The sequence below is a fragment of the Homo sapiens genome, chromosome 7 (genome assembly GCF_000001405.40).
Source record: "Homo sapiens chromosome 7, GRCh38.p14 Primary Assembly".
Classification (NCBI taxonomy): Eukaryota; Metazoa; Chordata; class Mammalia; order Primates; family Hominidae; genus Homo; species Homo sapiens.
Genome location: NC_000007.14, coordinates 139,639,513 through 139,664,965, shown reverse-complemented (window position 1 = coordinate 139,664,965; position 25,453 = coordinate 139,639,513). Strand labels below are relative to the sequence as shown.

The 25,453-nt window shown below is 46.6% G+C and overlaps 1 protein-coding gene across 13 annotated transcripts in view, besides 1 other annotated feature; it reads left to right on the top strand.

The window, feature by feature from the left end:
* The window catches only part of HIPK2 (homeodomain interacting protein kinase 2), a 216,429-nt gene that overhangs the window by 113,033 nt on the left and 77,943 nt on the right, over positions 1–25,453 (top strand). The gene's annotated exons all lie outside the window — the stretch shown is intronic.
* Positions 15,351–15,620: an enhancer, noted in NCBI's record as "active region_26766". NCBI's record gives its function as "activates an Ori minimal core promoter by ATAC-STARR-seq in GM12878 lymphoblastoid cells {active_cell/tissue: GM12878}" and the evidence as "EXISTENCE:reporter gene assay evidence [ECO:0000049][PMID:35858748]".

The window sequence follows — 25,453 nt, the reverse complement described above, 5'->3', positions numbered from 1 at the left end:
GGTGTTAGAGACACTCTGTATTAAGGTCAGAGGAAGGAGTCTGAGCGCTTGTTGGTATGTTGTAAATAGCTGATATCTGTAGGATGTCTATGCAAATGATTAAGGTAAAAAAATAGGGAGCAGTTAGTAGCAGAGATTAGGTTTTTTGATCATTTCTGCTTTGGCTGAATTAATATACAGAAGGAAAAACTAGTTGAAAGTCAAAGGGGCACCTAAGTTAATGGTGGAGAGTGAGAAAAGAGACAGCAGAGAAATTTAGGGCTACAGTACAGCTCAGAGCCACTCACTACCAAAAGAAGAGACCAGCGGAGGTGGCCCTCGTTGTCCCCTGAAAGGGATGTTGCGCCATAGCAGGAAGGGTGGAAGCCATGTGGGAGGAATAAAAATCAAGGGTTTGCAGGAGAAAAATCCTCAAGCTACTTTTTTTTTTTGAGACAGTCTCACTGTGTTGCCCCGGCTGGAGTGCAATGGCTTGATCTCGGCTCACTGTAAACTCTGCCTCCCAGGTTCAAGCGATTCTCCTGCCTCAGCCTCCCTAGTAGCTGGGATTACAGGCACCCACCACCATGCCCGGCTAATTTTATATTTTTAGTAGAGATGGGGTTTTGCCGTGTTGGTCAGGCTGGTCTCGAACTCCTGACCTCAGGTGATCCACCTGCCTTGGCCTCCCAAAGTTGCTGGGATTACAGGCTTGAGCCACTATACCCAACCCCTCAAGCTACTTATTGTAGTTGAGAAAGAAGGGTGCGGATGACAGGAAAAATAAGTAGATGAATGCAAAGTGAGATTAACATGAGATATTTGGTTGGTTGGTTGGTTGGTTTGCTTGCTTGTTTGTTTGACTTCAGGAGAAACCTGGATCAGATTGGGCATGAGGGGAGGACGCTGAAGCGAGATGACCAAGTGTGAGAGGAGGGTCGTCAGGGACTCGGTACCAAGCGTGGGGGCAGAGTCCTCCTTGAAGAATGGCCCCTTGGCCCAGGCCTCTGGGGTTTGATCCCTGGTCACCCTGTATGTGGACACTGGCTTGGCAGAAGTCGAGGACAAGAATATTTCTGAGAGCTGGTGAAGGAAGACTCGTGGGCCGGCATTATGGGTGGGCTTCGGGAAAGCAGGAGATAGAATTGAGGAAGTTCCTGGCTAGTTCCTTCTCCTTGCTCAGTCTGTCTCCAGCTTCAAAGGTCAGCACTGTGGAGAGTGCTAAAGTCTCAAGGTTAAATTTTACCCCAGAGTCTAATTGAATTTAACTTTTACATTTTGTTTGTTTGTTTCTAATGTCTCAAAAGCCTGTTTTACCCAAAGCTATTTACAGTTGCCGTTGGGTTGGGATCCCTAACGTAGATGAATAGCTTTGTTTCAGGTCTGCCCTGCCTGGAGCCCCTCCTTCCCACCAGTTACCTTTATGGTTACATATGGTTTGGCATAGAATACCAGTAAAATACCAGTAGACACAGCTGAGGTGCTCTTTTTTGTTTCTGAAGGATTTTCAGTATAGTGTCATATCCGAACGTCAGGACAGTGGAGGAAGCCCACGAGGCCTCCAGCTCATCAGTGGCAGAGCCAGCATTCAGGGCCCCTGTGACTCTCCAGCTGCATTGCACTGCTGCCCCTGAGCTGTAAACCCGCTTCCTAGTTAGGAAGAAAGCTGAATTAGGTGATCTCCAGTCCAGCCTTCCAAGTAAGGCTTCTGTGAATCCATGGCTGTAAGCATTTGAATGAATGTCGTATAAAGAAGGTGAAGGTCAGTGGAGACCAGAACTGGGAGGAGAAGCTTCATGGTGGAGGGGACTTGAAGTGCACTCTGAAAGGCCAGTGGGCATGAGAAGGGCAGGATGCAGGGAGAGTTCCTGGGCTGAGGGAAGTGTGAGCAGGAATTAGTGTCGAAGGTCATGGACAGAAAGGAGCTGGCCTGAAACCCAGTCAGAGGCCATGGTGGCCAGTGGGAAGGTGGGGTCTGATGATGGAGAGCCCTGATAGTCAGAGACAGGACTTGGATAGTGTCAGGAATGTCTGAACAGCAGGGCAACATGAAGAAAGTGGCATTTTAGGCCAGGCACGATGGCTCATGCCTGTAATCCCAGCACTTTGGGAGGCCGAGGCAGGCAAATCACTTGAGGTCAGGAGTTCGAGACCAGCCTGGCCAGCATGTGAAACCCCATCTTTACTAAAAATACAAAGATTAGCTGGGTGTGGTGGCGTGCACCTGTAATCCCAGCTACTTTGAAGGCTGAGGTAGGAGTAACGCTTGAACCCAGGAGGTGGAGGTTGCAGTGAGCCGAGATCACGCCACTGTGCTCCAGCCTGGGTGACAGAGCGAGACTCCGTCTCAAAAAAAAAAAAAAAAAAAAGTGGTGTTTTAGGAAACTTCGCCTGGCAGTCGTACACAGGAGAGACAGCTAGGGACAGGCTTGTACACCCCTGGTATATGGCCCGAGTGGTAAACTCAACCTGAATGTGATTGATTCCCAAGGAAATTTCTTACAGGATTTCTTTGGCAAGTGGTTTATAAGCAACGATAGAAAGACCACAGGGTACCCATGTGACCTCACTGAGGAAAAAGGCATGCCAAATGAATCCCATTTATTTTCTTCATAACATTCTCAGAGAGTTCTGGCAGGGAAATAACAGACAAATCCTTACCTTTATACAGTGCTTTCCTGCTAAAAGTACATTCTAAATTTCAACTAGGCACTTGACAAGTGTGTGAAATTCTGTGAGCAAGATGGAGAAACATAGATTGGAGAGTGGTGCCGCTGGCTGGATGTTAGCTAAGGACTATACTCAAAGAGCATGGATTAAAGAGGGCGAGGTCCCTTGTAGATGCTGCAAAAATCTATGTGAGTGAATTGAATGAAGACATAAAAGGCTTTTTAGCACGTTTGTGGGTAACACCCTTTGGAAGAATAAAGAAGATCTCAGTAGAGGTCAGAAGCCAAGCTAAACATATAACAGTTGGTGAGAATAATGTAGTCTTAGCAAGTGTATTTTAATAATCAATTAATGTGAAAAACCTGAAATAATATTAAAAGACTCTGGGAGGAGGGAAAGGCTTTGGGGGAGATAGTTATGTAAGGATGAATGGTTAGTATCAGGTGGCTGTCAAAAGGGTTAATGCAATCTTAGGAGAGTAAGAAAAGCATAGTATTTAGAGCAAGCTTGTCCAGCCTGCAGGCTGCATGCAGCCCAGGACAGCTTTGAATGTGGCTCAACACAAATTCCTAAACTTCCTTAAAACATATGAGATTTTTTTGTGTGTGTGATTTTTTTTTAACTAATCAGCTATCATTAGTGTTAGTGTATTTTATGTGTGATGCAAGACAATTCTTACTCTGATTAGCACAAGGGAGATAATGGCCCCATTGTGTTATGTTACATTTGGGACATTTTTATGTTCATTGTATTGTGGGTGGGCTGTTATACTTTTGATGTGAAGGGTAGTAGAAGGATCTGGGGATATGTTTCAGCATGGAGAAGAAAGGAGAAGACCCCAAGGTTCATGACCACTGTCTTCAAGTATGTAAAAGGTTGCCATGTTGAAGACACCACAGATGGGTAGACTTATCCTGCACTTCTCCAGTGGGCATACTTAGGGCATTCTAAGCTAGGCAGATGTTAGACTTCATGAGCAGCTCACCAGTGGAGAGCAAAACAGGTTTGGTGTACAGCTGTCAGGGATTCTGTAGAAGAGACGCTTATATTGGGTGTCGGATTGTTCTCCAGGGTTTCTAGTGTGTTAAGTATTATCCAGTGGTGTGCTGGAGCCAGTTCATACCAGCTTGCAGGAGCTGGTTGTTAAATAATGAGGATTTTTAAGGGCTAGTAGTTAAAATGTTGTTTGCTTGAAATGGGCCATGGAAGCAGTATTTATACCAAGGAAATTGGCAATAGATCAACCCCACCCCACCCCACCCCTACCCAGTGTCAGCATGCCAGCATACCACCAGTATTATCCATAATAAAAAGGTGTCTTTTAGAGGCCGGGAGTCTCTGGAATGTGGAAGAGCAGACGGGTGTGGGAACATCCACGTGCGTGTTCTTTGGAGTTTTCAGATTCTGTTTCCTTGTTAATGGTGCGTAGCTCCCCTTTTGTGCTCATACCACTTCCTATCTCCTGCCAAGATCTGGGGCCTGTGAGTTTCTCTGTCTCTGGATCTGCCAGGAAAACGCAGATATCTTCTGTTGCTTGGAATAATTCTTTCCTTGTTACGTATCTAGACTGGCTAGCCCTCTGTGAGAGGTGCCTCCCACCTCATTCTCAGCACTAGCCTCAAGGACTGTGAATATCAGATGAATTCAACCAGTGAAATAGGATTTGGAAACACCTGGGCTGTTGAGAACAAGTGATTGTAGGAGTAAGGTCCAACCCACAAATATAACAAAGCCCCGCAGGCCATATGGCAATAACAGCCCAACCGATGGGGCCTTTGGGTTGACCTCAGATCAGCCTCTGTCCCCATGCTGCCTGGGCAGAGAGCAAACAATGACTTTATTTCTGTCACTTTTATCTCCCTTATTTCTTTGTAAAAAGGATTTAAATAAAGTCTGAGTCATGCTGTAACCAGGAAAAGCAAATGTCCTGTGGTATACATGATAGGCGAATTCAGCTGTGGTCATGCAAATTGTATTTGAGTTTGGTTGAGGCTCTAATTAAAAACAACAACAACAACAACAAAAAATTGGTTGTTTTTACTTTTCTTAGTTGCCTACTGTGTTCTATTTGAAACCCTATAGGCTTTGCCATTTTCCCCAAGGGTGCCTACTTCCTACTCTTTCCTTTAGTGGTTTCCCAAGAGACAGACAATAACACCCTTGACCAGTTGGGCTACAACCAGATATGAGCTTCTCAAACTATGGGAGGCCATTCCAGTAAAGTGTGTATTGCCAGCCAGTGAACTGTTTGTTTTTGATAAAAGGTTTTCTTGGCAAAACAACCCGCCCAAAGGTGATTTTTGAACCATGGAACAATTCCGAATTTCAAAATTCAAATTATAAATAAGAGAGCTGAAGTATAGGTGTTGCATTTAACATGCAGTTATATATTGGGAAGCTATAAATAGGTCTGTTTTTGAAGAGACTAAACCCAAGTAAAGATTAGCTATATGCCTGTATGATGGTGGCATATGTAGAGGGATCAGGGAGAACTGAATAAAGGAAATCAAGAAATAACCCTAATTTTCTAATAGGGTGTCAGGAAGAAAAGAGCAGAAAAGAGAGAGAATGCAGCTCTAGCCAGCCAGAAGTTCGTGGGCTGGAGACACACCCTTTAAAGGAAGGGTCTGTCTTCCTTTAAAGGGCATAGGCATAGGCCAAGGCATAGGCCAAGGACAGGGAATAAAGAGAAAACTGAATGCCTACTGCAGAGACTATAGGATAGCAACAGCAGAGGTGACAGTGACGACCATATTAACCAGAGTCCAGACCTGGGACACTAATAGCCCAAGCAGGAATCTCTCTCTATCCGTGCACAAGCTGCAGCTGCAGCCGGGGGTCTGTGCTGGGTCTTCTGGCTGGAGATCTGACCCCGCGGCTCAGGGCCAGGGAACCTACCAAAAAGATGGACTCAAAAAAGGCTGCTCCTACTTGAAGGGTGCAGAAAGAATCGGATGTTATTAAATTATGCCTGTTGAATCTTCAGCTGCATGAAATGGCATATCTGTGAATGCTTTTAGAGTAGAAAATTTGGTTTGAATGGCCTAATTGTGATGCGTGGCAGGGAAAGGGTTAAGACGAGAGACAGTCCCAGGAAAGAAGTAGGGCAGTGAGGGAAATGTGGACACAAGCGGCATAGAAAAGCAAGTGAGTTCATTAAGGTAGTGCTCCTCAGTGAAAAAATCCCTCCCGGCCCCCTTGCAGCAGAGACAGGGCCCTATTGTTTTTGGTCAGCCAATGCCAATACCACATGCCGTCGGCCTCAGCGAGAAATATGTCCATCAGTCAGTGTTTAGCCTTCCCCAACTAGGGTTCCCAGGGAGAAATAAGCCCTCCTGCTTTAAGACATCCATTGTAGTGAATCGACTCCTCTCCTGGCCACTGAGAGTGGTATATAGGAAGGTTACAGTCACACAGATCATTTTCTGTGCTCTGTAGTTCAGATAGAAAACCCTGGTTGAGAAAGACTAGTAGTGCAGTGACCCAGAACTGGCCTTCCAATATAAAATTAGCAGGCACTTCAGCAACCTGGGGTTTTGCCTGAAGGAGATGGCAGAAAGCAGTTGTAATAAAAGGGCACTCAGAATTAGGATGTACAAAACAAGATCTTATCCCCACCTTCACAGCACCTCCCAACTCTGCCGTACCTACCAGAACTCTGACTGTCTCCTCTTCCTACCTAGGTTGTATATTGTCAAAGACTCTTCTCTGTCCAAATTTCTGGTATTTGGTTTATAAAATAGGTTAAACTAGTGTGGGCATTAAATTAGTTTCTATGGAGAAAATTTTGCTTTCGCTTTCCTACTTCTCATGAAGTCACTTTCCCTGAAAATAATTCAGTGGAATTGAAAACTCTTGGCTCATCTTCATTTCATAACATGGCCATTTGTGTAGCATACATACATTGAATGATTTGAGTGAGTGAATGAGTTAATTAAACATACAATGAAGTTTGTCAAATATGTCAACACTCTGTTTGCCTTTTCCCCGTTCATTTTTTTTTTTTTTTTGAGACCAAGTTTCACTGTTGTCACCTAGGCTGGAGTGCAATGGCACGATCTCTGCTCACTGCAACCTCCGCCTCCTGGGTTCAAGTGATTCTCCTGCCTCAGCCTCCTGAGTAGCTGGGATTACAGGCACACACCACTCCACTCAGCTAATTTTTCTATTTTTAGTAGAGACGGGGTTTCACCATGTTGCTCAGGCTGGTCTAGAACTCCTGACCTCAGGTGATCCCCTATTGATTCTTAAGGTGATCAAGTAGGAATGGCTGCTACCATCTTATGGCTGAGGGAACTTAGGCTCATAACATTTAAGTGACTCAACCAGGAACACAAAGTAGATAGTGACAAGGTCATGTGGAGAACCCAGGTCTCCTGATCCCTGTGCAGACCTCTTAAAGGGCATCTGGAAGGATGGTGGCCAGTCACATGGTGTGACACAAAATAAGTCAATCAGTTGTGTTTTCGTGAGCACTTATTGTGTAACACTGTGTTCAGTGATAGCTGTCCAAGAAAGGAAGGTGCCATGTTTCTGTTTTTGTTTTTGTTTTAATCAAGAAGCTTATAGCTTAATTGGAGAGATTAAACTGCTACACCTAGAAACAAGTGCCTGGCATGACTCTTACAGTTTAATGGAAGGTGTGTGAAGGGAAAGAAGAGCCTTCTGGAAGGCATCAAAAAGTTCCTCAGGAAGAACTGAAACTGAACATTGTGCAGAGATAGCACTGGGTAAATCCAGAGGCCAATGAGAGTAAAGGTCTACCCAGGCAGGGGATGATGGCCAAGAATCATTTGGGTGGAGGCAGAATGTGCCAGTCCTGTCTCTGTCTAGAGATGTGCAGCTGAAGGTGAAGTCTGATAAGCTCAGCGTAGATAAGGCCTGGGGATTTGGGACCAATACAGTGAAAAATCGAATGGACGAGGTCTGAAGGAACATTTGGGTCAACACAAGCCACCCTAACAGCATAATCACTACCTAGGATGGTAGATGAATGCTGTCTAACAGACGACTCTGACTGACGTAGTACCTCCCACGGAGGGTCAGCGTGCAAGGTGGACACAGTGCAGTCCAAGGCTCTTGACTACAGCAGAAGCCTGGGTGAGCTGTCGGGGGACTGCTAATAGAAGTGGACGTAGAACTGGCAAGCCAGGCATGGGGGCTCATGCCTGTAATCCCAGCATTTTGGGAGGCCAAGGCTGGAGGATCATTTGAGGTCAGGAGTTCGAGACCAGCCTGGCCAATGTGGTGAAACCCCGTCTCTATTAAAAATACAAAAGTTAGCCAGGCGTGATGGTGCAAGCCTGTAACCCCAGCTACTCGAGAGGCTGAGGCAGGAGAATCACTTGAATCCGGGAGGTGGAGGTTGCAGTGAGCCGAGATTGTGCCATTGCACTCCAGCCTGGGTGACAGAGCAAGACTCCATCTCAGGAAAAAAAAAAAATGGAGGTAGAACTGAACTCTGAGGATGTTTAGGATTTGAATAAGAGAAGGAGAGAGCATCGCAGATGAAGAAAGCAACATGCACAGAAGTGTCGAGTAAGGAGAGTATTGCGGTGTGCACAAATGACAGGGAAGGGTCAGACCTAAAAGAAGAGGATGTTATGAACTGAACACAGAAAAACATGATGGGGTAAGGGAGGGCAGCTGTGGGGCCTTGGGAGCAATTAGAATTTGGATTCCGTGTGATAGGCAAGTTGGTTCTTGAGGAAAGCTGTGGGATGATGAAAGTGAGTCAGGCAGCAGGCTGTAAATTGGATTGGACGGAGGGAAAGATTAGAGGCAGAGAAACTAGCCAAGAGACTGTTTCAGTTATCGGGCCCAGGCCAAGGGAGTAGTGGCATTGAGAATAAAGAAGAAAAAGTGACTGTGAGGTAAATCCCAAAAAGAAGGCAGAAACTCAAGAAATAAAGGTAAACGTGATAAGCAAAGATGACTCTTGAGCATCCTAATTTTGGAGATGAAAAAATCATGGTTCTGCTGGAATAAGTGGGGTGAGCTGGAGAGGAGCCCCGTTTTGTGGGGGTGGAGGGACATGATGACTTCACTTTGAGGCATCCAATTAGAGATACTTAAGTCAATGAGAATATGGTACTAGAACCCAGGGAGAGATTGGGGCTGGGAATGCATCTGCCTGGTGGTAGATGCCTGGCAGTGAATGAGTTCACCATGGAGGTGGACCAGGGTACAGAGTGAGGGAGTGGGAGAAGGAAGAGGAGAGAGAAGAATGATGGGAGAAATGAGCAGAGACCAGCAAAACACATTAGCAACCCTAAGGGGACTTGGAAAGCGAGTTGAGGTCAACAGGGTCAGTTATCAAAGAGAGGCAAGGCTGAGGATGAGAACCAAGGGAAGGCCCCTGAGTCCCAAAAGCAGCTTGGTGGTGATGTGTGAGTGCAGCCTTTCCAGCTTCCCTGGCACGAGTCTCCTCATCCATGGTTAAATGATCATCCAATTATCATATAGGCCTCCTGACTTGCCTCCCCACCCTGAGCCTTCTTGACCCTAATTCATTCTCCAGTTGCCCATTACAAGAGTGTGCCCTTCCTTTAAAATCATAACCACAATCAATCATTATGTTTCCAAAATACAAATGTAATCATACATCTTCACCTGGACTTGTGGGTTGCTTAGGAAATGAAAGAGGGGTGTGTAGACCCCTCCACTTGTGCGTCCATCAGTGCAGGGCAGGGAGCAGGGACAAGCATTGCCACCTTAAAGGAAGAAGGAGAGAAAGGGCCAAGGAGAAAAGAAAGAGGAAGTGAGCATGTTCAGAAGCAAGAGCCAAGAAGACCCTGCCACGTCGGATAAGCGGAAAGACTCCAGAGGAAGACAGAGTTGCTGTGCAGGTTCCCACACGCCTTCTGTCTACAGCCACCTGCAGAACTGCAGGCAGCAGCCTCCTTGCCCGGCGGGAGCCTCTTGCACAGGGCCTCCCCATTCACTCTCTACTGGCTCCACTGCAACTTACGTCTTTGTCCCAAAGGGAAGACTGACATTTGTTTGTTTATCATAACTAGCTTCGCTTGCTCTGAATTTATTTGTGTGCCTGCTCAACCCTTTTCTGAACTATTTTCTGGTTTGTATTTGTCATGACTGTGGTCCCTTAACTGACTGTGATCCTTGTCATCAACTCTGCACCTTATGGGCACTGAGAATTCAGTAACTGGCTCATCAATACTCAGCTCCAGGCTGGGGACCCTAATTCCTAGGGACACTTTCTTATCCAAGCGAATTCCCCCCACAGTCAGAGCAGCCCTTCATGTGAATTAGCTATTTTCTATTGCTCTTTGTCGCCTGTGAATATGTAATTGCATGGGATCGGGAGGAAGGCAGTGATAGAATCCTAGATTGTGTGTTGGCAAGGGCTTTAGAAATCACCCTATTCAACCTCCCACTCGCAGGAATCCCTTCAACAGCTTTTATTTAACTTATTAATAGCTTTTCTCTTGATTTAAACTGTTCCCAAAAATAAATATTGGGTAGGTGATCCAAGGAGTAGTTTGAGAGTTGATATTACCAGGAATATCGTAATGAACAGGCCTCTTCTTAAGCACTCAGAATTTGGCTGGACTCGTGAGCGTCCATGTTGCGCTTTGTCCTTCCCATCTGAGTTTTGTTATCTTGCTACTGACTGCAACCCCGCCATGGAGACAGCACTCAGAGTTTTCACAGGGGCTTGGTGAAGCCTCAAGCCCATAACAGACCACCATAAGGACTCCATGCTCCCTAAATGCATTAAACAGTTCCAAAGATGTGTTTTTTGCTTTGGGGTTTTTTGGGGGTTTTTTGTTTGTTTGTTTTTGAGATAGGGCCTTGCTCTGTCGTCCAGGGTGGAGTGCAGTGGCGTGATCATGACTCACTTTGGCTTGAACCTCTCAGACTCAAGCAGTACTCCTGCCTCACCCTCCAGAGTAGCTGCGACTATAGGTGTGCACCACCACACCTGGCTAATGTTTTGATTTTTTTTTGTAGACAAAGTCTCGCTGTGTTGCCCAGGCTGGTCTCAAATTCCTGGGCCCAAGCGATCCTTTTGCCTCAGCTTCCCAAAATGCTGGGATTACAGGCATGAGCCACTGTGCCTAACCTCAAATATGTGTTTTTAATGATGTTTAAGAGCCTCACTTGTATAGCAGCAGCTTTTATGTGTATCTCATGCTGTTAAACCTATAGGAACAGGGGCCTGGCAGCCCCTGTGTCATTGAGGCTCTGTTTTGCTGCTTTATCATTCAATAAGCTGGGCTGCACATACACAAACCTGTCTCTGTAGTAAAGAAACAGTTTTGGCTGGGCACAGTGGCTCACGCCTATAATCCTAGCACTTTGGGAGGCCGAGGCAGGCAGATCACTTGAGGTCAGGAGTTTGAGACCAGCCTGGCAAAGATGGTGAAACCTCGTCTCTACTAAAAATACAAAAATTAGCCGGGCGTGGTGGCAGGCACCTTTAACCCCAGCTACTCAGGAGGCTGAGGCAGGAGAATCGCTTGAACCTGGGAGGTGGAGGTTGCAGTGAGCCGAGATCATGCCACTGCACTCCAGCCTGGGCGACAGAGCGAGACTCCATCTCAAAAAAAAAACAACAACAGTCTCGAGGAGGCCAGAGGAGCATGTTTTGTTCCCCCCACCTTTGGAAAGAAAAAAACATTGTACAAGTGGAAAATCTTCACTAATGCAACATAAAACTTGGCGATTTTCATCACACCAGGTCAGGTAATCCCAGGCTGTGCTTCTTGAGGCAGTGGAAGCTGATTTCCTTTGCTCACTTATCACCTGTGCCTCTCAATGGCATGTCTGTAACAGGAGGCAGAGGCCTCCTTCCCGAGGTCCATGGGTCAGAGTTTTACCATACGAGATGGCGGTGTGGGAGGTGTGATTTGTCCCATAAGATCTCTAAATCCCACCACCCATTCTGTAACAGTTGATAGTCCTCAGCACTGCATTTTCCAGTTACTCATGTTTACAGACAAATGTCTCTTTGTCTGTAGTTGCTCTCTGAAGAAATCAAAGAGCAGCTGTTGTCCTGCCTCAGCACCATGGCATAGGAGGTCCAGAGTTAGCATCGAGGATGACAGTGACGCTGTTTCTGCTCTGGTATCACTTGCCCCTTGCTCCTACTGCCCTAGCCCTTGTGTCACTTCCTTGTTCTCCTGAACAGTTTTTTTTTTTTTTTTTTTTTTTGAGACAGAGTCTTGCTCTGTCACCCAGGCTGGAGTAGCAGTGGCGTGATCTCGGCTCACTGCAACCTCAGCCTCCCAGGTGCAAGCCATTCTTGTGCCTCAGCCTCCTGAGTAGCTGGGATTACAGGCCCCCACCACCACACCCATCTAATTTTTGTATTTTTAGTAGAGGTGGGGTTTTACCATGTTGGCCAGGTCTCAAACTCCTGACCTCAAATGATCCACCCACCCCGGCCTCCCAAAGTGCTGGGATTACAGGCGTGAGCCACCGTGCCGGCCCTGAACAGTCTTCTTTGTGTTTTCCTGCCTCTGTACCTTCGTTAATGATGTTTTCTTACCTGCAGTGCCCTCTCCCTTCTCTCAACTCTGAAGTCGGTGGTACCTAACGATTCTATTTAAATTCTGCCTCCTTGAATTCTCTCCTGTTCTTCCCAGCCTGGAGTGGAGTCCGCTGAGGTCTACTAGAGTTCAAGTTCCATGAGAACAGAGACTGTCTTTTTTTGTTCACTCTCTAATTAGTGCCCAGCACATAATGGATGCTCAATACATGTTTATTGAATGAGAGAGATTGCTCCCTCTAAACGTAGCTGGCATCTGACATTCATGATTTCTGTCTGTATTCCTTTTTCCATACGTGTACACGAGATGATAAGCTTCTTGAGAACAGCAACCATGACTTGGTATCACCCTCTAGCAGAGTCTTGAACATGCTGGGAGCTCAATAAATATCAGTGATTGAACTTACTACATAATCACTCAATAATCCAATCATGTCCCCGAGCTCAGGGGAAGGGGGAGGCAGACAGAATGCCTTCCTCCTGCTGTCTTATACAAAGCCACTCGTGAGCAGCGTCTTATGCAAACACAAGGCCCCATTCTCCCCCAGCCCAGCACTTGCCCACCTAGGAAGGATATTCTCAAGAACATGAGGCTGTTGACATCACATTCCTTTTCCAAAAATGTGCAAAGGACTACAGAATTGTTCAAGAAGCAGTGATCCAGTGCTTGGCTAGTTAATTCCTGAGTAAGCCACTCTGAAAACTGATTATAATCCTGTTTCAAATGGAGAATTGGGAGAAGGCCAATAAAGGGTATATTATTGTATCTTGTAGGAGGGAAGAATCCGGCAGATATTCACTGAGTTATGGCGCCAGAGCCTTCCTCTCTAATGTTATTGTAAATAATTGTTAGAGTAGAAAGCCAGATCAGCAAAGTGAGACTCCAGCATTGCAGTTCCTCTCCACGGAGGTCTTATATAACGAAGACCTCCATAAACAAACATTGCAGAAACATAACATCGGATCTCTCCTCTTAAAGTTCACACTGTGTAATGTAAAGTGGAATAATCATTTTACATTCCTTGTAAGTTCTAAGAAGTCCCTTCTGGGGCAGCTGTTTGCTAAACCTTTTTTGTTTGTTTGTTTGTTTAATAAAAGAAAACAAATTGTGTACCTCTCCACAGTGCCCCCGCTATAGAGCTAAAAGCAGTGATTTCATGTAAGTGTTTCATTTGTCCCCCTCCAGCTCGCCTCTCTCCTAGGAGTCACGAACTCAAGTGCCTCCAGGGCCAGGTAGGTGGTCAGTGAGCTGGTAATGACTAAGGTCTGCATCTGGTGACACACACGTGCAGAGGGCAGCCTTATCCAGCCCCAGGTCATTGTGACCACGAACTGACAAGTGGCCCAGAGTTGCCAGAGCTTTTGATTTTCAGCAGGAAATCCAAACTTTTAGGAATATCACCTGAGTTCTAAATGTTAATAGCTAGTTGAAAAAATTTAATATCTATGCAGGCCAAAGAGTGTCTGTCTCTGTGCCGGGTTCATCCTGTGGAATAGCAGCTTGCAAACTTCATGCCATCCGTTCAGTCTTGCCTGCATTTGGGTGCTTGGAAGTCCTCCTCAGGCTGTGTTTTCCTTGTGCCTCCTACCTTTTTAGAAAGTGCTTCATTGGTTCCCATCAGGGCAGGGCAGGGGCTGGATGGAGGACCTAGTGATGTGTTGGGTATCAGGGGGTGCTGACCTAAGGCTTGTTGGAAACACAAATCCAGAGCTTCTCTGCGTGCTCCCTCCCCTCTTAGAGACGCCCAATCAGTATCTGTCACTGCATAACGAAGTACCTCAAAATTCCGTGGCTGACACAATAAACATTATCTCACCGTTGCTGTGCTCCAGGAATTTGGGAGCAACATGACAGGACGATTCCCACTCCAGTTCTGTCATGAGGTGGCGGTGAGCTCTTAGCCCAGGCTGCAGTCACCCAAGGGCGTGACTGGGGCTGGAGGGTGTTCTTCCCAGGTGGGTCACCCTTGTGGCTGGCAAGCCAGAGCTGGCTGTTGGCCAGAGGCCTGGGTTCCATCCACGTGGATCTCTCCACAGGGCCATTGAGGGTCCTCTTCCAGAGTAAGTGATTCAAGGCAGAGCAAAAGCAGAAGCCACATGCCTTTTACAGCCTAGTCTCAGAAGCCACACATTGTCATTTCTGCGCTGTCTTATTGGTTACACAGGTTTGCCCTGCTCAGTGTGAGAGGAGACCACACCAGGGTGTTGACTTCCAGGAGAACTGGGTCCTCAGGGGCCATCTTAAGGGCTGGCTGTCACAGCTGTGATCACAACCCTCAGTCGGTCCCTTATGAACAAATGGTCCAACCCTGAGAATAGTTTAAAAAAAAAAAAAACCCGAAGGGAATAAAATATATGTCATAGTGATTTGCACCTAATATTCAGCCCACTTACTATTGTGTTCCCCAGATCAGCCTCAGAAATTAAATATCCTTTTTTTTTTTTTTTTTTTTGAGATGGAGTCTTGCTCTGTCGCCCAGGCTGGAGTGCAGTGGCACAATCTTGGCTCACTGCAACCTCTGCCTCCTGGGTTCAAGCGATTCTCTTGCCTCAGCTTCCTAAGTAGCTGAGATTACAGGTTCATGCTACCACACCCAGCTAATTTTTGTATTTTTAGTAGAGATGGAGTTTCACCATGTTGGCCAGGCTGGTCTTGATCTCCTGACCTCAGGTGATCTGCCTGCCTTGGCATCCCAAAGTGCTAGGATTACAGGCGTGAGCCACCATGCCTGGCCTAAATATCCTATTTTTATATCCCATCTTAGAACTGTCTTCCCTGAATGTATCTAAAGTCACTTTTTAAAAATATTTTTTAAAATCCTACCCATACCACCTCTTCAAGCGATAGACTGAGGTGTACCAAACAGAAGAACCCTTGCTTTTCAAGGGAACCCTTTCGCTTGCTGCTTACCCCTGTCTGCTTCCAGGGGTATTCCTAGGTCTCTCAGTTGCTCGAGCAACTAAACCTAACCAACTTCTCTACTAAACCTAACGTTTTGTAAAGATTTGAAAGGAAAATCACTCTGAACAAAGAGTAGTCCCTGCTTTGGTATACCAGTAGCACCTGTGAAGACAGGTGGCCCCAGAAGTTTTCTGGGACCCTCTGAATTGGTAGGAGAGGGGCACCAGTTAATCAGAGGCACAGACAGGGAGGAGCAGGGTTGCTCCTGTTCCTGCAGCAGTATCCATTTCTGGGACCCACTTTCCAAACCACCCCCCCGAATTCTAACAGCAGGAGACACACACACACACATACCCTCAGGCTCTACATCACCTCTGCCTCCTTCAAGACCACCCTTAATATTCATTTTAACCAGATTTTGCCTGAATAAAAACGTGAAGGGGAAGAAAAGGTGCCCCAGTGTGTTTTCCCCTAGGAAAATCCCTACTGGTAACTAGTCTTATTTGCTCAATAAACAAAATCTTAGGCTGGGAACTGAAGGTCAGCACAAGCAGCATCTGCGGGTGTGCACCGGGGCTCTGGGGCCCTGTAACATTTGCGCGTGTACCTGGGGGAAGGGGTGCTGCATCGGCCCGCCCCCCGCAGCCACCCGCCGCAGCAGTGGTCACCGAGTCAGGGTGTGGGGAGGTGGAAATGAAATGCATAATTCATAGGCCGCTGTGGTGTCCAGTCTGTGGGAGGGGTGGTAATTACAGAACTGAGAAATGAGGCTGCAGCGGGCAAGTCACCTCTAGGTTAGAGGCTGCTATGATAGATGGCCTGCATTGTTCTCTTTCTGACCTTTTTCTGAACTTCCCCTTAGAAGAACAGAGGAAATATGGTGCTGCCTTTTCCCATATTGTTTTTGAATAATACCTTCAGACGCCAGCTTTTAGAGTTTCTGTTCTTCCGTTTGGGGTTTTGCTTCCCCCTCCACCCGCCCAATGCCTTGCTTCTTTCCATAGAAAAATCGAATCACTAATGACTTTATCCTAGTATTAATGGTAAATACAGACTACACAAATATTTGTCCACACTGAACACAATACATACGGGGAAAGGAAAAAAAAAACCCGCAGCACCCTCTCCCTCCTTCTGCTCCGCCCTCCACTGCCAAGCAAGACAATCCCAAGAGCCGTCCTCCGTCCTCCGTAATGATGCAGACGGGGCTGATGAGAAGGGTGGGGGGCGTTGCTCGGTAGGAAGTGATGGAACCTAAGCTCTGGCTTGCAGAATAGAATCGTTTTAACCGGACGTGAAGGTGCAAGCAGGAATGATGCTCACTCCCATGTAAGCTATTGATGCTATCCCGGGGGGATAAAGTAACAAGGCTGGGGACTGTGTGCCGTATTCCCTTCATCAGCCTTTCCACTGTGTAACCCGAAAGCCGCAACGTCGTTTCCCTCCACGCTTCTCTCTGCCGCTAGTGATTTCCTGGTCTGAACTGTGACTCCCTAGTGATGGCCTGTAACTTTGGGTTCTGTGATCATCTGAAGTCTATCAACCTCTATATAGTCAGGGAAACCCAGAAGAGGGAAGAGGGAAGATTTCTGTTTGATTTTCACACAAGCAAGACTTACTAAAGAGTTAGGCAGAATTGTTCACTTAGCCTTCAATTCAAAATTGAATCTCAGGTTGAAACTTTGGGGTATGTGGGGTTGTTTTGTTTTTTGAAAAATGTACCCCTTTTGAGGCCAAATGAAAAGGAACTAGACAGTTCTGTGTCAGAGCCTTTCAGACTGGGGGTGGAATTTGGTTAGCTCCATTTAGCGGGTTAATGTTGATTGAACTCCTGCTGTGTGCATCACCACCCTGAGCTGTGTGGCAGCTGAGCACTTCCCTGGGAAGCAAATATAGGTTCTGTCTCCTCAAGGAACTTTTGATCTCTTGGGGGAATCCAGGACAAGCCTAAATACAACCATACAAAGACCTACTTACACAGCTGACACTACAGAGACAGGCCTGCCAGGCAGGCCCTCGCTGATTTCCAGTGATGCCACAAAACTTTTCTTCCTTGGCAAAAAAGAAACTAAGCTGTTCATACCAATGATCACTGTCATTCTTTCAAACATCTCACAGGTTTTTTTATGGGTTTAATTGCTTATGGGTTTTTTTTAATTGAATTTTCAAAATCTCCCTAGCTGCCTCCTCCCTATCTCCACTTATTCTCTCTTCTTCTTCAGGTAGGTAAATAGTATCTCCTTTATCACCTGCTTTTCACCCACTATTCCTCAGCATATATATAGATATCTAGATAGATAGATATAGATAGATGATAGATAGATACAAACTCCCTATGTCAAGCTTCTCCTATTAAAAAGTGGAGCTTTATAGGTTTCTATTCACATTTCACCATTGAAATCCTTATTATCAGAGAAGAACTAAAAGAGCCACTTATTTCCTTAAAAGTAAATAAACAGTAAGAAATCCCAGTTTTCACTTCTTCTTCACACAATCAGCTACTCAGTTCAGCAAACATCTGTGTATTGGGTATTTACTGTTCTTAGCACAGTGCTTGGCGGTAGGAAAGAAGATAATGAAACCACAGCTTCTTCCAGCTCATGAGTGTGAACAATGACACCCAATGTCTGCAGACACCGACCCTCTCACCCCAGTAGACAAGGCTGTACGCTGGGTGCTGTGAGGTGTACAGAGATCAGTCATGCACAGGCCATGGCCTCGGGATGCTTCCAGTCTAGGAGCTGATTATAGATGATTCTTATTTAAAAAAAAAAAAAAAAACTATCAGTGCAAGGATGAGTGAAAGAGCTGAATTGGCAGTAGAGACATAGTTAGCGTTGTAGGAATAGAGCACAGGAGGGAGCCTCAGTCAGCAGGGAGTGCTAGAGCAGGTAAGGTTTGAGTAGAAAGCTTCAAAGGCTTTCCATGAGAGCCAGGCCAGACATGCTTTCCACAGGGCCACTGACAGAGGTGCGGAGGGGAAGCCTGGGTGTGCTCAGGGAGAGTCTGGGACCACCAAGAGTCTCAGGTGCTGCCTCACCGCCCCTCACTCTTTCTTCTCTGACTTCCCTCAAGAGTCCCTCCCTCCCTTCCTCCTGCCTTCCTTTCTTCCCTTCTCCACCCAAAGCCCCAGCTGATGTGTGACAGCTCCCTGATTCCATAAGCTGGTTAGCTCAGTTGGCTGGAGTAGTGTTTGGGGCTCACGAGAACAAAATGAGCATTCTCATCTCTTTTGCTGAATGTTGCTCCGTTCCAAAGGCACTGTAGGAGAGTCCCTGTTCTTGGACTACAAAGAGGCCCCATTGTTAGGATAAGAAAACTGGTTAATGAGAAGATGGAGCAGTGGTATCCTCATCTGAAAACTTTCTTTTCTTTCTTTCCTTTTTTTTTTTTTTTTTTTTAAGACAAGGTCTTACTCTGTCACCCAGGCTGGAGTGCAGTGGCGTGATCACAGCTCACTGCAGCCTCGACTTCCCAGGCTTATGCCATCCTCTTACCTCAGCCTCCTGAGTAGCTGGGACTACAGGTGTGTACAACCACTCCTGGCTAATTTTTTAAAAAATTTTTTGTAGGGACGGAGTCTTACTATGTTGCCCAGGCTACTCTTGAACTCCTGGCCTCAAGTGATCCTCCCGCCTTGGCTTCCCAAAGTGCTGGCAGTGCATGGGTGAGCCACCGCACCAGCCTTAAGGGAACCGTTTGTTCCCTTACCCAGTGGGTCGCGTCCCTCTGTCTCCATGGAAGTTGAAGGTTCAGGTGGCTTTCCGAGCCTGTGTCTGTTGCACTTCAGCGCCCCCTAGTGGGAGGTGTAAAGAGCCAGCTTAGTATTTCCTCTGTGACCCAAACACAAGAAGGCAAACTTTGGTTTGGTTTGGTTTGGTTTGTTCTTTTTCAGCTCCTTTAAGAAAAGTTGAGTGTTGGAAGGTTTCCCCTGAGTAAGCTGCCCTTGGCTGGAGACCTGGAGTTTATGCCCATTTTGTTTGGCAAGATCTTCTTGTTCCTAACTCCTGCTGGAATAACCAACCAGTCACCGTGAGAGCTCGCTCTTGTCCGGACCACAGCAGGTCCTAACCAGGAGTGCTGTGAGCAGACGGGCCATGGCCACATTTACTCTGTGGATGCTCCCTGCTCTAAAATTGGGTAAAAAACATACCCTCAGTGAGTCCTGTTTTGCTGGTTTGATGGCGTGCACGTCTCCAGAGAGCAAGGCCAGCCTCATCCACCTGGCTCCCCTCACCGCACTCACACCTGCCTGCTTAGAGTCAGGCCGCATCCTGTACTTACAGGATCAGAGCCTACTCCATCGGCCAGGAGTAGTGGCTTTATTTGGAAAGTTGCTTAGGTAGGGTATTAGTGGGTTTCGGCCCTGCTTTCTCAGTAGTTTTCCACCTAACACACAGTGCAGTGGGGGAGACCTCCTCAGACGATACCTGTTTTATTGGAATATCCCTTAGGCTGCAATGGAAATTCACTCTCTAACTTGTGTTTGACATTTTTACTGAGTGGGTTCCTTTTCATAGCTCAAGTTTCTGGCTTCTGTTCTCTTAATTGGTATGTCTCCGGCTGGTGACACTGAATGTATCTCCCTTTCAAAGAAGGAGCAAGTTTCTGTCTTTTATCCCAGACTGTCAGCCATAAAGACTGACTGTGACTTAGCTCCACAAGCCACATGATCAGATGGTGCTGTAAGGAAAGAAAATACCCCAAAGATGAGCCTTGTCTATGGCACAGTCACTCATCTGAGAGTTGGGGATTCGGGGCTTCTCCAGTGGAGGCACTGGGAACCTTGGAAAGGAAAGCATCGTGTTTCTTCTGCCTGTTGTTGGTTCATTCATTCATCCAGCAAACACTTATTGAGGCCTCACCATGAACCAGTCGAAGCTAAATGTTGAAGCAATGAGAAGTTTTGCATTTAAATCAGTAAAGTTGCACATAAGTGATGTTACTTTCTTAGTATGCATCCATCTAGAGTAGAGGGTGAACCTTGAATTAATGTGTTAGTGTGGAAGAGACCAGCCTTTTCCCCAGCCTCACATCTCATGATCACTATAAGTGGGTAACATCACCAGGCTGAATAAAGTGAAGACGCCACATCTGCAGTTGATCCACAGGAATTGAAATTCCAAATCCCTTGCCAGTGCAGAGAAAAGAAGAGTGGTCCCAGAAAGCTGAAAAGTGACAGCAGGTGACAGTGGGACTTGGGTTAGGCCTTCCCAGAATCAGCAGGCTTCCCAACACAGCTCTAAATGCCCAGTTTCAACCCTCGGCTTCAGTCAACAGACTAACAATGAATCGGAAGAAAAACAGTCAACAAAAGGATCCATGATGAGGACCATCATAAAAGAATGGCTGAGGCCTGGCTCCTTTCTCAGCCACTGTGTTGGGATTCCCAGCCTCTGGCCTTTGCGCTCACCTGGGCAGGAGCCTCATCTGAGCACAGTGGCAGAGCACAGCGAGGCATGGGGGCTGCCACACCGATGTGCACCCATACCCAGGCTTGAGTGTGCAGGCTGCATGTCACCTCCCACACATGGTGACTTCAGAGCCCCTTTGAGGAGGAGGGACAGCGGATGGGAGGAAATACCACAGGGCTTTTGTGATGTTGACAGTGCTCTGTTTCTTCACCTGGCTGGTAGTGACACTGGTCTTTGTTTTCCAATAAGTTGTTAAGGTATACGTTTTTGTTGTATACTTCTTTGTATATATATTCTCTTTCATAATTAAAAAAAAAGATAAAAACATTTAAAAAGAGCCTGGAGCAGTATACATATGAAAAGATTACATAGATAGGCACCTGCAGAGACACATGGTTCCATTTCTCTGGCTGATAGGTGCTTCTGCAAACATTTGTTGAGCACATTCTTTGACAAAAGTCACCAAGCATAAAGCGTGGCCTGGTGACACTGTAGTCTGGTAGAGTGCTGGGAGGTCAGAACAGGCTTTCTCCAGCAACGCAGAGCTTCATGGTATAGCACCAGAGACCAGATTGGGGGATATTGGGCCACCCAGGCCAGGGATGGGTAAAGCAGGCACAGCACGTGTCAGGAGTATAAGGATCTCAGGAATTACAGGGCAGCGTGAGTATCTTTGAAATACTTATCATGGAGTCCAAACTGGTTCTTCTAGGAACCTTCCTCATTGACATTACAATTCATAGTTTTCTTTTTTTCTTCTTTCCTTCCCTTCTTGCTTTTCTTATTTCACCAAGTCAAGTCAATATCGTTTAGGTGGATCCATGTCCCTGGCTGTACTTTCTTCACTTTATTCTACATGCACAAGCACATAACCACAAATTTAGAGGCCAGTATGCTCTGGACATCTGAGAACTGGTTTCCAGTTTGCACCAACATCACCAGAAGCCTTTGGAGATTATATTCATTTCAGTTGCAGATGCAACCTTCTCCTCTGGCATGTAAACAAGTGAGTTAGATTTTGGTGCTACGCTTAGCAGAGTTGGAGCAGGACTAAGAACGAAGGATCAGTGTGAAAATGTGTGTGTGTGTGTGTGTGTGTGTGTGTATTTAGTACATATTCAGAGCCAAGATGTTCACTGCCAATATGAATAGAAAAAACCGCCAATCTGATTCTAACATTATACAGGGAATGGCCAGTTGAATCAAGGAAGCCTGCATCCTTTAAGAGACTGTCCAAGTGTGCCATGAGAATGATGTCAACATCTAGACCCAACTGCAATTATATCAACCTCCATATGGATATGATGGTTCATTCTGAAGTCTTCAGCACTTGTATTGGTGATAGCTGAAGATACTCAGTTATGACAGAATCATCAGTGAGGGTCTGAAATGATCCTCCTTAGCACACAGTTTTATGGACATCAGTAGCGGCCCCTTAGGTAGAAAATCTCTGCAACAGTGGTTCTACGTGTATTACATCAAGCTGCAACCACCCAGAAGTTTGGGTGTCGTGTCTGTCCCCCCAGCTCTCCTTTTGGAGTTGGAACCCTGTTCCCTTGCAGCAGCTCTCCACCTTAATTTCTTCAGCTTATAACCAGGCAAAAGTACCCTGCTGCAGAGTGCACAGAGATCTTGGGGTCCACGGTGTTTGGCTTGGCCATTCCAAGGATGGCTCCGTGGAAGCCAGCGCAATGGGTGGGCCCCTTGTCAACCTCCCCCATGTTTTGCTCCTAGAGCTTCATCTCTGGGTCCCTTTTTCCTTTTGCTTGTCTGCCTATCACCCTAATCAAAGACAAAACTATTTCTCTTTGATCTCCTGTTTGCCTAGGAAGCTGTGTGTCTTTTTAAGAATCCAATCACAGGTTGACCTGGGATTAGCTCACCTCAATGGCCATCTACATCTCCACTTGGACCTTCTGGATCCCCCTAGGCATGGTGTGGATTCATCCTGTGGGGAGGCTGCCCCTGTTTTCCCAGCAGGCTTGCCTGTGGTCACAGGGCGTGTTGTCTCTCCATGCAGCTGCCCCGAGGTGCTTTCCAGCCCTTGCCTTTCTGGCTGTCTTCTGTGCAGCTCTCTCTTACCTCTGGCTCCAATTCCTCTGAAATAGCCTCCTCCTCCTCCCTGCTCTTCAGATTTCTGCCACTGTTTCTTGGGTCCTGTGCTGCTTCACTGTAATCCCTCGCCTCCCACTCCCGGTCACCAGCTCAAACAGCGGCTCAGAGCTCAAGACAGCAATGCAAGTCTCCTTATTTTTGCAGTGGAAACATAAGATTTAACAACCCATCTGAAATACAGTTTTACATTTTGATTGCTTCTGCCCCAGCCATACTGAGGTTACTTTCAATCTACATATATTTGTGGGAACGGACTTTTTCTCTGCAGTTCGAGTACACCTTATAATACCAGTGATTATAAAATACCATGGACTAATAGAGTGTCTTGCTTCCAAGGAGTTTAAACTGTTTTATAATTCTGCCAACCATAATTTATCTTCATAAGCTGCCGTAGAGACAAGAGAAAAAGTGAGATTAATAATCACATTTTATAGATGGTGAAATAAAAACTCAGAGAAATTGAGTAACATTTTTCCAGAAATGCACAGCTCCGCCTGTGCGCTCCGATTAGCGCTGCAGATTTATTACCCAAGTTCGGAGTGGCAGTGAACCCTGCCCTTGTTTTGTCAGTGAACTATGTAAATGAGCAAGACATTGACTCTGGTCTCAGACTTGACCAAAGTGTTTGGGGTGAGCAAGGGACTATACCCTGAACCCTGCGTCCCAGCCCTTGTTGCCGCCGATGCCATAAGCAGACACAGTAATACAGGTTGACTCTGCCCACCGGGGTCCTCAGACCCACGGGACCACCCTCCCAAACCTGTTCCCCGGGCTGTGCTCCCTGGGCATCACTCTGACCTCTAGCCTGGCACACTGTTAGGACTCCAAGCAGCCCAAGCGCATGGCTGTCTTTTCAGTCTTCATTGCCTAGTGTACTGCATGTACCCAGCATTCATGTGAGATGAAATAAAAGGAACACTAGGTTACGGTAGTATTTCTCCACACAAGGAAGAAGCAAGAGGATTGTGGATAGGGAGTTTTATTCCTTTTTTTTTTTTTTTTTGAGACTGAGTCTTGCTTGCTCTGTCACCCAGGCTGGAGTGTAGTGGCGCAATCTCAGCTCACTGCAACCTCCACCTTCCAGGTTCAAGTGATTCTCCTGCCTCAGCCTCCCAAGTAGCTGGGATTACAGGTGCGTGCCACCATGTCCGGCTAATTTTTGTATTTTTAGTAGAGACGGGGTTTTGCCATGTTGACCAGGCTGGTCTCGAACTCCTGACCTCAGGTGATCCACCTACCTCGGCCTCCCAAAGTACTGGGATTACAGGCGTGAGCCACTGCACCCGGCCAGGGAGTTTTTATTTCTAAAGCTAGGTGGTAGGTACTTCACTGTTGGTTATATTAATCTTTTCAGCTTTTTGTGTAAATAAATGAAACAGTTGTTTAGTGTATATGCTTTAATGTATTTCAACAGAGTGTTCCATATCAGAAAGAAAGTGGCTTTAAAAAATGAGGAAGCTGGGTGCAGTGGCTCATACCCATAATCCCAACACTTTGGGAGGCTGAAGCGGAAGGATTGCTTGAGCTCAAGAGCTCAAGAAGAGCCTGGGCAACATGGTGAAACCCTGTTTCTATGTGCCTGTGGTCCCAGCTACTCAGGAGGCTGAGGAGGGAGGGTTGCTTGAGCCCAGGAGGTGGAAGGTGCGGTCAACCAAGATTGTGCCACTGCACTCCAGCCTGGACAACAGAGCGAGACCCTGTCTCAAAAAGAAAAAAAAAATAAGGAAGAGGGATGATCTGTTTATTTCATTGCTTTCACATGGACTTAGACGTGTTATAGATAAGTGGTTTAGTATTGTTCAGCTGACTACTCTATGCCAGGCCTCTGCAAGGTGCCCCCCTATGATGCTCTGTTTAACCTAGTCTTCATACCTGTACCCAGAAGTAGGTACACAACCAGTACCTGACAGGGCTGGGATTCAACCCGGTGAACACTGGGATCCCAAGTGCGGGCCACGCCCTCTTGACTTCTGCAGCCTCTACACCTCCACTGGAGGCCATTCCCCTGCAGGGTCATATGATCTGGACATGATCTGGGAATGCTTCTCAGTGTGTGCAGTCAAGAGAGCGAGTGGAGCTAAATCATCAAAGCTTCCATATTGATGGTGTCCAAAATGACAGTTGTTTTTCCTCTTTCTTTAGAAAGATAGAATTTTCAGTGTCTTCCTATGAGAATGTTGGAAAGAAATTATCCCCCTCTTTCTTAGGTGCAGATTTTGTCTGACACTTCATGTGTGTTTAAAGTATTTTTGATGTCCCAAAATAGTAATGAGGCGATTCTTTAAGATGGTTCCATGGGGTGGAGCTGTAGCAGTGAAGGTGAGGAAGAGCAAATGAGAGATCAGTTATGACAGAACCTGGAAATGCTCACTCACAGTATTCAGGAACCAGCAGCCCTACCTGCCTGAAACCGAACCGAGAACAGGAACAGCCCCTGTGGAAGCAACCGACATGTGATGATCAACCCAAAAAACCATGTAAACTCTGAAACAGAAAGGCCAAGCTGTCTGCCTCTCACATAGGAGGTACTGACAAGGTGGCATTGCCAGCTCCAGGGAAAACTGGCAACTGCTGAGGGTGTGCACTTGACATAGACTCATTCCTTCTACAAATGTGTATGGAGCACCTACATGCCCAGGCTGCGTGCTAGGCGCTGGAGATACAGCAGTGACATGGGGGTTGGGGGACTTGCGCTGCTCTGTGTGTGGTAGCCACCCCTGCCTGGCCACTTACTAAGGCTCAGCTCAGACTCCTCCTGGGAAGCCCATCCTGCTTTCTCTCTCCTCCTCCAATTTCCCCCATCTTTGTGTACTATGTACACACTTCACACATTGTATGTCAGATGTCGCTATGCTGCTA